Source organism: Homo sapiens, chromosome 6 (genome assembly GCF_000001405.40).
Source record: "Homo sapiens chromosome 6, GRCh38.p14 Primary Assembly".
NCBI lineage: Eukaryota > Metazoa > Chordata > Mammalia > Primates > Hominidae > Homo > Homo sapiens.
The window spans coordinates 92,321,422-92,336,117 of NC_000006.12; the positions used below are offsets into that span (position 1 = coordinate 92,321,422).

Sequence of the window (14,696 nt, forward strand, 5' to 3'; positions counted from 1 at the left end):
TTTTTTTTTTTTTTTTTTTTTTTAAGATAGAGTTTTGCTCTTGTTGCCCAGGCTGGAGTGCAATGGCATGATCTTGGGTCACCACAACCTCTGCCTCCTGGGTTCAAGCGATTCTCCTACCTTAGCCTCCCGAGTAGCTGGGACTGCAGGCATGTGCCACCAGGCCCAGCTAATTTTTGTATTTTTAGTAGAGACGGGGTTTCACCATGTTGGCTAGGATGGTCTCCATCTCTTGACCTCGTGATCCACCTGCCTTGGCCTCCCAAAGTGCTCCGATTACAGGCATAAGCTACCGCACCCAGCCCAAACAGGACTTTTTAAGCTCCTCCAAGTTTATTATTAATAGACTCTACCCTCTGTCCTCCAATCATACTTCTTAACAATTATCCACTTCTTCATCAGACTTAGTACAAAAATACACAAGTTTACCTCTGTCTTTGAGTCTTCATTTCTGAAGGCTCCTGTTTGGTGTGTGCTTTCCTCTAGTTAATCTGTCTGTTGTCATAGAAGCCTCAGCCATAAATCTAAGATGAAAAGAAGAAATATTTATTTTCCCCTGCAGCACCATTTTAACTGATCTGAAACCATCAACTCATTAGACTGTTGAGTAAACAACAAGTAAAAATACTCAAAGCCTTTAAATTTTTGTTTTGAGCAATTTGTACTTGTTTTGACTACACACATGCACCTCATTTACTTGTTAATTTATCTGTTAAATGGATTTTACAAAATTTATGAAGTAGTATTTGAGAATGCCTCATGAACAAAAATCCCATAAAATATAATCTTAAATGTTTTAAAAATACTAAATTGCCATAATGTAAAATTTAGCCGATTTTCCTTAAGAATGAGCTACAGATTCATCTCAGAATAATCTCTGTCTAATCATTGGTTTGTCACCCAATAGTGAGGACAAGTTCTCAGGGCTTTTGGTTTAATTCTCATACATTATCTAGGATGAGATTTTAATAACTCAGTATCACTATAGTACTTCTATGCAAGATGTTTTTTCAATAAATGAAGAGTAAAATTTGAACACCTTTTCTAATGAGGTAATATTTGTGCCACTGGAAAATAGAGCAAAATACATATACTCCTCAAAAAAATAATAAAAGTGTCCAAAAATATTGATCATAGGTTGATCTAGTAGGCATATTTAGTGAATCAAAGAAGATGCTCATGGTTGAAAACATTAGGGCCATGAAATATTACATAATAAACAATTACAATGAAGGAGATTATAGAGGAGATGGAAGAAGTTATTTCATCAGAGGGGAACAAAAGAATGTGCTTTGAAGTGGAAACAATCTGGTGGGAACTTCTGTGCCATATTATTATCCACATTATTTGGGTCATGTTTAGTAATCTGAGCCTCTGTCTCTATGCCTGGAAAATGGAATAAAAGGGTATCAGAGACCCTTTCAACAGTTTAAAAATCCTAACTGTAAGCAAAGTGCTAAGCTCAGTCCAGAACATTATAGTAGTTTTCTAAGGGCTTATTCTCATCCCCTACAAAAGACAGATAATGGAACAAAATGTTCAAAGAGTCATATGTAAGTAGGTAAAATACAGGTTACAGTAAGTCAAAGGGCTTTCAAGTTTGGGTATATATGCTTTTTAAGAAACTTTAATGGAAGAATTATATGGCTTGAGTTCTAATGCCAAATATGGTACCAGTCTGGTTAGACTAGGAAACAATTTAAACTCTTCAATTTTTATAACTGCAAAAATTAAAGAATGTTTGGTAAAGAAATTCTAAGATCCCATCCATTTGTAATTGATGACTAGATGATTTTATATATATGTAAATGAAGACTATATATATATATGCTTCATTAATATTGATAATTAGAAATTTCCCTATTTCCAGTAAAAATTTTAACAACTTGGAAAATAATATTAGTTTGGTCATAACTGGTAACTTAACTAACTAATATCCCTTTTTGGGGAAATTTAACTTAGATTTTACCTAATAGTTATAGAAAATAAAGAACAAATTCAATCTATCATATACTGTACAAAAGTGAGAAATTCAATCTATCATATGCTGTACAAAAGTGAGAATAAAATAAGTCATACTGATAGATATTGAGAACACTAAAAATCATGCTGTTAACAAGAACAGAAATAACAAAAAGAAAAATTAAATGATATTGGATACTCTTACTAGTTTGGATAAAGATTACTCTGATTGTGGGTTTTGACTTCATTAAGATAGTTCACGGATAATTAACTTGACAATGTTCTTTATTATTATTACTTTAGAATTATCACTACTTTTAAAGGATTATAGAAAGAAGCTTATTGTGGGAAACAAGATTTGTATTCTAGTTATAATTTGTTAGCAGTCAATGGCTTATTTTCTCTGACCTTTGTTTTCCAATGTACAAAAAGTTTTAAAGTCTTCCAGTTTTAAAAGTGATTTATTTCCTTGCACAAGTATTAAGCGTGGTTTATAAAATTAATTTTAGTGACTATTTCCAGAGTGCTTTACAGTTTTTAACTACCTTCTACTAAATCAGTCTGTTAATCATTTGTTATACCAATTAATAATGGGCTATGGGTCAATGATTTGGTAGTTATGGTGTTAAGCAAAATTTTTCCTCAGCAGTGTCAATCTTCTTACATAGGCCCATGAGTCTATGCCCATAGTATGAGTGTGTGTAGAAGGTACACTACAGAGATAAATGGCTCAACTCTCTTTGACCCTGGAGCAAAATAAATGAGAGTAATAAAGTTCACCCCTTTGAGTTTTGCCTTGTTATCAAATATTCCCCAAATGGTGCAGCCAATAAAAGTGAAATAGTCTGTCAGGGGAAAAACAACAACAAAAAAATACTTCCTATTTTTTTCCCTTCAGGCACTTTAAGACAAGACAACTTCAATTTTAGATATATGAATGAAATTACTTCTAAAAATTAGAAAATTCTATCAGCTCAGAAAACATGAGTATCTTTAGCAGAAAGTTAGACTTCCACTCCAAGAATAATAGTATTGTGCTGTTTCATGATTTTTTTTTTGTCTTCACTATAAACTGAGAAACAGTGTTTGACTTCATTTTCTCTGTTTTAGTTTCTTTTCAGTTACATCCACATACTAATAAAGACAAAGAAGAAAAAGTTAAAGGGGCTCTTTGGAGAACTCAACATTTCCCTTCACCAGGTAGAATAAGATCATAGCCGAAGAACCGTCAACATACTTTTAATGCATTAAAATTAAACTACTTAGTGTATGTATCAATACTTAATAAATGAAGGAAAGAGTGCCAGAAACCAGGGCCTATTCCAACGCTGAACTGCTACCATGGCCTTGGAGACTGAAAATCTCCCTGTGCTGTCCTTGCTTCTCTTTTAGGCTTTACTTTTGATACCATTTTTGTAACTGTTTTACTAGGATTTTCCTTCCCTTGGGCCTCTGTGCTCTCATCACACTAATGTCATGTTTATTGGTCCTGCTCCCAGTCTGCCTAATCTTCAAGAAACTTGTGTGAACTGAGGCCAATTCCCACCACATTTATAAGCACTTTGACTTTCTTTAGAAGCTTCCTGCATCTCTCCCTTACTGCTGCTCTTCTTTTTATATCACTTTTCCAAATCCGTTCTATTCTAGATCCTCATTTAAGGAGAAAACAGAATATCTTCAACTTCCCTTTCCACCTCACGTTTTCCCCTTATCTATTAATCTGCATCTGCTATAATCCATTATCAGTCAATGGTCCTCTACTCACACCAGGGCTTATTCCCTTTCTGTCTCCTTCAGCATTTTGCTTCATGGCTGATACCCCTATTTTTTCATCTTCATTGTCTATCTCCTCTTGATCCATCCCCTCAGTGTTTGTTGTTTACCCACTCCATTACTTGAATTTTACCCTTCAAACAGATCATCCATTGGCTTCTCCTTGATTTTCTTCAATTATTAACTGCTTTTTCCTACTTATATATCTCTGCTTTCCCTGTAGTTTAAAATGTTCTAAATGTAAGTCTCCTCAAACATATAATTTCATGCCAATTTTATCTTCCTTTTAAAATTTCCCCTTTATCTAAAAATCTTATCCAAAAATCATAGCTTTACTTATCATTGCTATGTGAATAATTTCCTTGTAAATTTATATATTTAACTCCTGTTTCTATTCTGAGCCCTAGTGCCAAATTTTCAAATGCTACTTCATTAACTTCAAATTCACACCTTTTTCCTCCAACCTCTATTTTTATAAATAGTGTGCCTTCACACTACTCCCACTCACTTCCCTACCCACACATACCCACTAACCCTTAATCAAAATATCAGAGCTCTGATTCCATTCCTCTTTCTTCTTGCCCCCTGTAGCCAATGAGTTACCTAGACTTGTCAATTCTATCATAATACTACTTTTGTCATCTTCTAGAGGTCCATGGAGTACCCGAGGACAGGAAATAGAAGGGAAACAGTTGTGTAAATTGATTTGCATTTCCTCCATGCTCAGTAACATGCTTCTCATACTTTTCCTAAGCTTGAATAGAAATGGATACTTATGCCCTTTTCCACTTACACCAAGGGCCAGATATTTCTTTTATAATAAAGTAAGGAACATTTTTATACTGCTCTTTGACTTAGAATTTAAATTCAGATCTTTCATTTATTTTCTGAAGGTGTTCATTAAAGAATATTCAAATAGAAAATATATCCTTTAATCCTGTTCTTTAAAATGTCCTGAGACAATTTTTGGTGGTATCTATAGGTATTTTTCCACCTTGATTATATCAAATTCTAAAGCCCCCTATTTTCTGAGTTCCTCCTGAAGTTAATATAATAGGTAGCATTACAATTAATTGCAGTAAACTTACAGATAAAAGCTAACCACGTATGAATCTGGATCTCTGTTTTTTTTTTTTTTTTTTTTTTTTTTTTTTTTGAGATGGAGTCTCGCTCTGTGGCATGATCTCGGCTCACTGCAACCTCTGACTCCCTTGTTCAAGCGATTCTCCTGCCTCAGCCTCCCAAGTAGCTGGGACTACAGGCATGCACCACCACACCCAGGTAATTTTTCTATTTTTAGTAGAGAAGGGTTTTGACTATGTTGGCCAGGATGGTCTTGATCTCCTGACCTCGTGATCCGCCCACCTTGGCCTCCCAAAGTGCTGGGATTACAGGCATGAGCCACCACTCCCAGCCAGATCCCTTATTTTGAATTCAACTTAGAATTCAAATAAAGTTTAGAGATTTCACTATCCATTTTAGATTGAACTATCTAACCATCTACTTTAGATGATCATAAATGTTACCAAAATAAAAACCTTGCTTCAAAGCACTGTAAAAAGGTAACACAGTTGCAAATTTACCAACATATTTACTTGTTTTGTTGTTCTATAAGAGCATTTTGTAGCTAAAATTCTTAGTAATGATTATACATCTCCATTTAAATTCACCTCAGAATTCTATTTTAGTATCAGAGTGCTCTGACACTGAAAGCTTCTGGAATGTATTCTTTTAAGGAATCACCATTGATCCTATCCTACTATTTACATACTGCCACAAAGTAGAAATTATATTTAATTGAGCTGAATGAGAGAATCACACAACAAAGTGCTCTGCTTTATTCAATTCCCCGATATTTCTTATGTGGGATGACTAATCAAATATAATTGTTGGTGGATGATACATATTAATTTGATACATAGTTTTAATCTAAAACACATATTTTATCTGCATGCTAATTCAGAACATTTTCAGGCATCTAACCCATAGTTTTCAACTAATGGCAAACATGTCAGATGGAGGAAAATAGTTCACACGTATTAAGAATTATGAAGTGGTATTAAATTAATAGGATGAAAATTTTTCCCAGTCAGGTATAATTATTCTGCATTTTCTTCTTATTTATGATTCTGTGAACAAAATATTTTTATACAAATTCATTTCTTTTTTATTTCCTTTCTTCATTCATTAATTCATTCATTTAAAAATGGTTCCAGTTGACATGCAGTATGCTGGGCTGTAAGCTATTTGCTGGGAATACAAAGATTTTACAGTCTATTGGTATTGTTAATATTGATAGTTTATGTATAAAGTCTTCCTGGACCTACACCAGGATAGCTGAATTCTATTATATTACATGCAATTACACCATTCTCAATTCAGCATCTGATAGTTCTGATGAATGTTCCATTTATTTCCACAAGACTTATATGTTTACTATATCTGTTGCCATCACAGTCATTGATCCTTCTTGTGTCAGTCTCTACCTAACAATTTTTTTCTTAGCCCTCTGGATGAAAACTTAAGTTGGTGTTACTAGATATCTTACCTAATCACGAGGCCTGCTAAGAGACACTACTGCCTAGATTGTAGATCAAAGGACAACCTCCCACAATTATCTGGTGCAAACTTCTATAAAATATATACCTGTTTCAAGTAGCTTTGACTGCCCAGGATAATGCTGCAACCTTTATGAGTGAATTGCTCAGTGCCAAAGCAGTAATCCTACAGCAGTGTTGCATGGACATGCTAACGTGTATTAGAAAACAATCTACCTCACTAGAATCCATGGGACTCACAATCCTTACCTGATCTGAAACTGAGAATTACGACCTAAATATTTATTGAAAAATTGTTTTCACTGAACATTTCCCCTGCTTTGGGTTGATACATGAACTCTGAGCTTTAAGTTATCAATTATTTTTGTGCTTAGGTTGTACCATCCAGACTAGATAAAATCTATCAGAGCTCGTTTGCTTTCCAATGGTGTTACTACTATCTAGAATGCAATGCATTTGTAAGGTTGATCACTTTTATTGCCCTAATGAGTGCACAATTAGTTCTTTACATTAAAGATACTCAGATTTCAAATGCCTTTTACTTACCTATATATTAATCCTATATTTATGTGATTTAAAAATTAGGTCAAAGATTTTATGTAGACACTTCAGATTTTTATTTTGTTTTTTGAATACATTAACTATTTCGTTCTGACCGAGTTGACATACTTTTCTCCTTAGTCAAAAGCAGAAAGATTTGCCTATAGCAATTTCCATGTCTCTTCTCTTACTATATTACATATAGAGAGAAATGATTAAGGTAGTTTTTTTAAGTTTCATTTCATAACTTTCCAATGAAAAGCAATACCACTCTTTTCAGGTTTTCTCCACATTTCTAAGAAATTCATATCTGTCAAATTCAACACTTGATCTTTAATTTCTTGGGGCTATTTAATACTGACATATGTGCTAACTGACTATCTTTAATTCTTCAGGGTTTGGTTTCATCTATTCCATCAAGTATTTTAAGAAGTTTGAAATTCTCCCAGGATCATTTTTCTAAAGGGACTTACAGAAAGACAACACTAGAAGGATTTTATTATATACCATCTGAAAGAAAAATTAATTTTGCCTCAGGTCTCAAATGTAAATGAGAGCTCTATTATATAATGAAGGTTTGTCTGAATAACCTAATTGAATCAAGATATAAGAAATATTCAGATATTTTATGGCAGAGATGTGCTTTTCTCTAAATGATTAAAATTTAACATCTAAAATTTCTCCAATTTACTAGTTACACAATTTTCACTTCCTTTTTGCATATCTATGGTATATTCCCTATCATATCCTTATGCAAATGATAAAATGACACCATTTTATCTCAGAATGTGACAGTTGAGTAAATAGATTTAAATGAAAAATGGCAAAGACTCACTTGGAGATGTACAATAAGATCAATCACTAATGATTAGAAATTATATTGCTTCATTGTCACTCACTTTTTTGGCACAATAATTCTGCCAAAGAACCTATTTTATTGAATGACTTACTCTTTTTACTTAATAATTAGATTCCATTGTACTATAAATATAAAACTATCCCTTGGAGTTATGGTTGGAAGAATACGTAGACAGTGAATAAGTTATCTTTTCTTCCCATCATTTTTATGCACAAATACCCAACAACTGCCCAACATGAAAATACGTGCTTTCTGACGTCTGATATCAAACTTCGCACACTAAATGCAGTCAGATTTTTTTCTGAGCAGGCTCACTATATATTATCTTGGACATATGTTTGATATTATCTGGAAAAACAAAAACAATGAGTCAATGATTTGAGCTCTACTTGACACTGAAAAGGAGTTTGGCTCCATAAACTGTTTCTGAGAAGAATATTTCACTCTGAGCATAGCAACGAAGGTTCCATTATTAATGTAAATAAACGAGAGGAAAGAGGGAAGCCTTGATGATTGCAATGGTAAAAATTTAAACAGCCCTGAGACTGTTGATTAGAGTTGACGTTAGTAAGTGGCTGGGAATGCAGACATTTGATCCAGCATACACTATTACCAGAATTCACACTGACCAATTAGTATCCTCTCCTAAAATGTATTTGCACTCTGAGGAATTACAATTTCCCAATGGCACCTTTGAAACCTCATAACTTTCTGGAAAGGGTTTTTTGAATAAACGCCACGTGGATTTTAGAGTAAACGTCAAGCAATTTCATTAGCCAAAAATACAACTTTTTTCCTTCTTCAGCTAATATATAGATTTAAATCATTTAGAGGAGTTATTCTGATTCTAGACTACACATTCATTTACATGTTGAGTTGCAGATCCCAATATAAACATGGCTAATCTTCCTGGGCATCAATTTTATTTAATGATAATAGTACATTAGTATGGATCTCCAGAACAACTTTCACATATGATTGGAAATCACATTTGTCTGCTAAAACAATGAAGAAAAATAAGTAAATTATACTTTAGATTATTTCTGATTGTTCTGATGCCAGGACTTTAGTCATAATTCATAAGAGAAAAAGTTTCAGAAATGAAGATGTAGACAATCTTTGCAAACCAGTTTATAGATTAAATCTGTACATGTGTTTTCTTCTCAGTACTAATAGTAGCATGAATACAGTGACACATGGATGTTATGCTGACATTGGTGTTATTACTGCTATGTATACATATGAACACATGTGGTCCTAGACACAAATACATTAGTGCACACATATATACACAAATTAATTATTCCTATCAATTCACTCAGGGAATTTCTCCTAAGTATTATGTTTATTGTACCAGTAGAATCCCACCTGCTTGCTACTAGACCAAATTGTTCAAATAAACTCGTATTTTCACTAGCTTCCAAAAAGAAAAAGGAAAAATTACATGTGAGTGAAAATAGAAAGATCATTAGAAATTTCTGTTTTCTACTTTCCAAAAGTGTAGTTTTTCAACAGAGTAAAAATGACATCACAAAAAAGTGATTTGAAATCTTTATTCTTTTTCATGATTTCCAGTGAACTAGCTTATTCTTCATTAGAAAAAGCATAAGCTTTGGCCTATCCAATTCAGAATAAAAGGAATTAATGGACAATTAGAACTTGATGATTCAAACCCATTATTGCGTTGATATTGGCTGATTAAATACAAATAAAGATCATGTTGTTTTATCTTTTTTTTTTTTTTTTTTTTTTTTTTTTTTGAGACGGAGTCTCCCTCTGTTGCCCAGGCTGGAGTTCAGTGGCGCGCTCTGGGCTCACTGCAAGCTCCGCCTCCCAGGTTCACACCATTCTCCTGCCTCAGCATCTAGAGTAGCTTGGACTACAGGCGCCCGCCACCACGCCCGGCTAATTTTTTGTATTTTTAGTAGAGACGGGGTTTCACCATGTTAGCCAGGATGGTCTCGATCTCCTGACATCGTGATCTGCCTGCCTCGGCCTCCCAAAGTGCTGGGATTACAGGCGTGAGCCACCGCGCCCGGCCGTTTTATCATTTTAAACTGGAAACAATTTAAAGGTCTAACAATAACAACTGTTATTTGAATATAACAAGTATTTGAATATAACAAGTATTTGAATATAACAAGTATTTGAATCCACGTTTTGTTTTGCTTTTTTTTTTTCATTTTGGGATGAGGTATACATACATAACCACGTATGTGCAGGTTCAGTGTCTATGTTAAGGCTCATAATAACAGTTTTTTAAAAGATTAATGCTATTTGAAAATTATTTGCTTTGCCCGTAGCCTCAACACTTTTCAAAAGAAATATGAGAGTACTTACCTTTTTTCAAAAAAAACAAGTTTTCAAATGCCTTCTTTTCCACCTAAACGTTGTAAAAGAAATAAATAAAATAAAATAAATAAAATAGTGGAATTTTGCTGTGCTTAAAGCAAAAAAAAATCTAAATATGAAATTGTTTCATTTTTACACCTACATGATGACTGGAATTTCACAACAGAGAAAAGTTCTTCTTGTTTCTTTATCTTGTCTATGCTTTCCAGGCTTCAAGAAGGATTTATCTAGGCATCATCAGACTTTCATCCTATTAATTGCTCTATTTTACATATCACAGAAGAAAGGTGTACTCTTAACCAGTAGCCAAAGTTAAAGGAGAATTGAAGCAATTTTGGGTCAGTGGCCAGCATCAACCCCAGCTTGGGATACTAGCATTCTGTTCCAATTACAGCTCTCTGCCAGTCTTAGACTTTCCTACATCATTTTAATATGACTTGGATGTGACAGATGTACATGCTTTTGTGCCCAGACTTTGTCTTGGAAAGAAGGACATTGTCTTCTGGAGAGCAAAGAAAGAACACTGATTGCTAATGCTAATTAAGAGTAGAAGAGCAGAATTGAAATAATGTAGCTAACTTTTAAAAATAGACATACGTATTTCCAAGTATTTGGCAATAATTTATAGTCTCTATCTCTGGAAATGATCCGCCAGGGAGAACATCATGGATAGGGGGACATGGGGCCACCTGCCTATCTATGTTATCATTGGCAGGAAGTAAAATTGTTCTCAAAGAGTCAGCATTAGCATCTATGGTTCTCAGGACCAGAAACCAGTGGGTTGGCAGAAAAGTAATTAAGCAGACATCTCACATGGACAGAGCCCATTAGTATTTTATTTAAAAAAATTCACTGGGTCAGAACTCCTTAGCAAAACAAAAATGACCTTGCTCTCATTGTGGATAAACTGTGCCTCTTTTTTAGTTTTAAATCAATATCTACCTTAAGGTAATTAGATTAATATTTAAATATTTTAATGGATCAATTAAGTTAATGAAAGAGAATTAAATATTTGAGAGAAATAGAGTAAAATTTCAAAGTATATGCAGTACTTCAAACCATAATTTTAAAATGCCAAGTATCTACCTTAACGAATACATAGTATCAGATACTCCAAAGCAATTTATATCTTGTGATACTTTGCCTACAGCTGAGAGCCAAGAAACTTGGTTTGGAAGAAAACAACTTTCTTCTCTCAGACACTCTGCAAGTCCAAGAGAGAAAGGACCAATGCATTTGGAATTTTTTGGTGTGTTCTGCTCTGTACATTTTCTGTGACCACCTGGTGGACCTGATATGAGCAGCAATTGCTGAGTACATAGGTGGTGCTATCTGTCATCATACCCTTCCTGACTCCCACAGACATCATCCAGCATAGGCTTGGAATACAGAAAAAGAAAAGAAATGGATTCTTTCACATTATCCCTTCTTATTCTGCCCAGTTGTTCTCCCCTTAGTTTGAACATTTATTTCGATCAAGATCTATTGAATTCAATTTAACAAATATTTATTCATTTTTTGCTCTCTGTCTATGGAAGGAAAGTAAGCTATTTACTAGAGTATGAGTCTATGCCAAGTGGCATTTTAAAGATAATTTTTGTTAAAAACTTCCATTCTTTTCTCACAGGAAAAAAAAGTACATTATACCAGCAATTGACAGTTATTGTTTAAAGGATATTTATTGTGGGCAAGTAATGTAGAATACATTCCTAATCTCTTGTTTCAACATAGCATAAAGACAGTGTCATAAATCTTCTTTTATTTCAAATAACCCAGGGTGTTCATTCAATAATGTACATTTGCATACGTGGCATCTGCTGATGCTTTCTCTAGCAACATCTCAAACACATAAATTGTGTTTAAGGTATAGTTTATTACATTCTTCTCCCAACCTGTTCCTACTTTGTATTCCTCATCTTTTTTTTTATTTTGGAAATTATTTTTATTTTTTAAATTCACAAATAATAATTATATATACTTATGGCATACAACATATTTTTATATATGTACATATTGTGAAATGACTAAATTAAGGTAATTAACACCCATTACCACACATTTTTTTGTGGTAGAACACTTACACTACTCTCAGCAATTTTCAAGTATATGTTATATTGCTATTAACTATAATTGATATATTGTACAATTGATTTTCTGAACTTATTCCACCTAACTAAACCTTTGTATCATTTGACCAATATCTCCCCAGTCCCTCCCTCCCCCAGCCCTTGATAACCATCATTCTACTGTCTGCTTCTGAGTTTGACTTTTTAAGATTTACATATCAGTGCGATCATGTGGTATTTGCCTTTCTGGGGCAAGGCCTGATATTTTACCAGCTTGACTTTTGTATTTGGTACTCATTAAATAGTTTATATGCACAACCCTCTGCCCACACTGGTCCTCAAAGTCAGTCTCACAGGTGTAATATTTTTTCAGGCAGCAGGGTGAGGGGGAAGGAAGTAATATTTATTGGGCATCTCCTATGGACCAGGTCTTTTAAGCAATATCAATTGACCTCACCTAATGTTTACAACAGCTCTGTGAAGTCTGCATTATACTTGGAGGAACCTGAGGTTCAGAGAGATTTAGGGACTCAACCAAGGTGAGGAACTTGGTGGTCATGGTGTAGGGGTTGACAATCCCTCCTCCCTGCTGCAGAATTTCCCAAAGCAGCCTTCTAACAGTGATACAACATCTCTCCTTCAATTCTGAAGACCCTGGAATGGGGATGGGATGTAGACAAGTTAGAAGACCAACACCTATTGAGCACCTACTTATTTAAATAAATGTTATACTGATGAATGCTATCAATATATAACATTTAAATCTGTGAGCCAGGCATTTATATCTCTGTTTCCAGATGAAGAATGAAGGTTCAAGGACATTGATCACATTGCTCGGGGTATATCTGTTCTCCGAGCCTTCTCCTCGGGTTGATCTAGGTGGATATCCGCTCCTGACCAAAAACTGACAGGAATCAAATATTTTCATTGTCAAAGCAGCTTCTGCTTTTCTACCAAGGCTCTTCCAAAACTTCTGGGAATGGATAACAATGTTTTCTGGTTCTACTTCACCCTGAGCACAAGGGAACCTGGTCCTTGAATGAACCTGCACTCAAAAAATCAAACTAAACACCAGATAGTTTAGATTGGCATAAATGCAAATCAGAGTGTTGGGCTTTGCTTGTATTTGCTGACATGCTATAGTCCCGGAGTCAAGGTGCCAGGGTCCTGGGAGGAACAAACGCATTCCCATTGATTTATTGTTGAAAAACCCTGTTATCAGCCTACCCAAAGGCCTTGCCCCACCCTGCCTTGCCTCACCCACATACGTTCAGTTTGTAATTCTATTTCCTTTTGCTGCATAATACCTGCTTCAGTTTACCTTTTTCACGGGAGCCTCTGGCTTGGAAGTCCCCCAAATGCATACTTTATCTGTGTTGTGGGTTTGTTTAATATCTCCTCAAGACTCACTTGCTGAATTCCTAACCCTCAGTTTCTCATAGTGTGACTGTATTTGGAGGTAAGGGCTTTAAAGAGGTGATTAAAATGAAGACATTAGGGTGGGTCGTGTATTCCTTATCTTAATCACCACTCATTTACTTATCCAAGCTAGAACTTGGGTTAGTTTTATCTTTTCCTTTTCTTTAATTTTTGCACATCAAATAGCGCAATGAATCTTATTAAATCAATTTTCAAAATGACTCTCAATCCCACACTTCCTTTTCATTCTTACAGACCCTTGATTAATTGACATCTTTATCATTTCTAGTCTGGACTACTATAGTCAACTCTCTCCATGTAGGTTTTCAACATTCTAACATGCAAACCAGCTAGAATTATCTTTCTAAATGCAAATTTGATAATGTCACACCCATGATTAAAATAACTCAATGTTTATTCATTATCTGTACAATAAAGTGCTATTTCAGGGCTGAAAGGACAATCTCCACCTTTATTCTTTCAATTCTCCACATCCATACTTCCATGTGTCAGTCATACTAAATTATTTGCTATACCTTATAAATTCCATCTGTTTCAGCATCCTTATATTATGTATTCAGCTATCCCTGATCCCACCTCTCCTCTTCCTTTTCCATCTGTCAAATTTGAATGCTTAAACCAGGTAACAGTAAAGTTATCATACATATGGTCTTCCCTGGGTCAGTACCGGTTTATGTCCACTGTTTCAGAGTAATCATTAATAGCATGCCCTTTCACTCTCTAGTGTGGTGGCCTGGATGGTAAATTAGATGATTCCCTTAGCCAAAAGTCACCTTCTCTCTAAAACATGCCTTTAATTATCTGGAAGCAAGTAGTTGTTCTTGAAACACTGTAAATATTTCTACATGGTGTATGTCACATGGTAGTATAACAAATAATGTGCTTAAATATCCTGACAAATTATACGTTATAATAGTAGAAATAACAGCTAATCCTTAATGTGTGTTTAATGTGTTATTTCAAATAATGTAGGACCTTATTATGAAATTTTATTTATACTTTACAGGAATCCAGAAAGGAAGGCACTCTGAGAGTCTTTGTTTTCCAGATGAAGAAACTAAGGCAAAGCACGTCTGAGTAACTCACACACCCGATATGTGGTAAGAAGTAGTGCTGCTAAGTAAATCCATGCAATGGTTTCAAAGT

At 34.5% G+C, this 14,696-nt stretch overlaps 1 long non-coding RNA gene across 1 annotated transcript, besides 1 other annotated feature; it reads right to left on the reverse strand.

Moving 5' to 3' along the window:
• Positions 1-278: 278 nt before the first annotated feature.
• On the reverse strand, positions 279-12,870 carry LOC107986625 (uncharacterized). Its single transcript, XR_001744261.3, has 3 exons — positions 12,568-12,870; positions 10,033-10,075; positions 279-524 (listed from the first exon to the last, which is right to left on the reverse strand). It is a non-coding gene; the product is annotated as an uncharacterized LOC107986625 (long non-coding RNA).
• Positions 4,392-4,561: an enhancer, noted in NCBI's record as "experimental_96913 CRE fragment used in MPRA reporter constructs". NCBI's record gives its function as "activates a minimal promoter by MPRAs in K562 erythroleukemia cells, with activity observed for both the introgressed and non-introgressed 6:93035616 variant alleles {active_cell/tissue: K562}" and the evidence as "EXISTENCE:reporter gene assay evidence [ECO:0000049][PMID:34662402]".
• Positions 12,871-14,696: the final 1,826 nt, after the last annotated feature.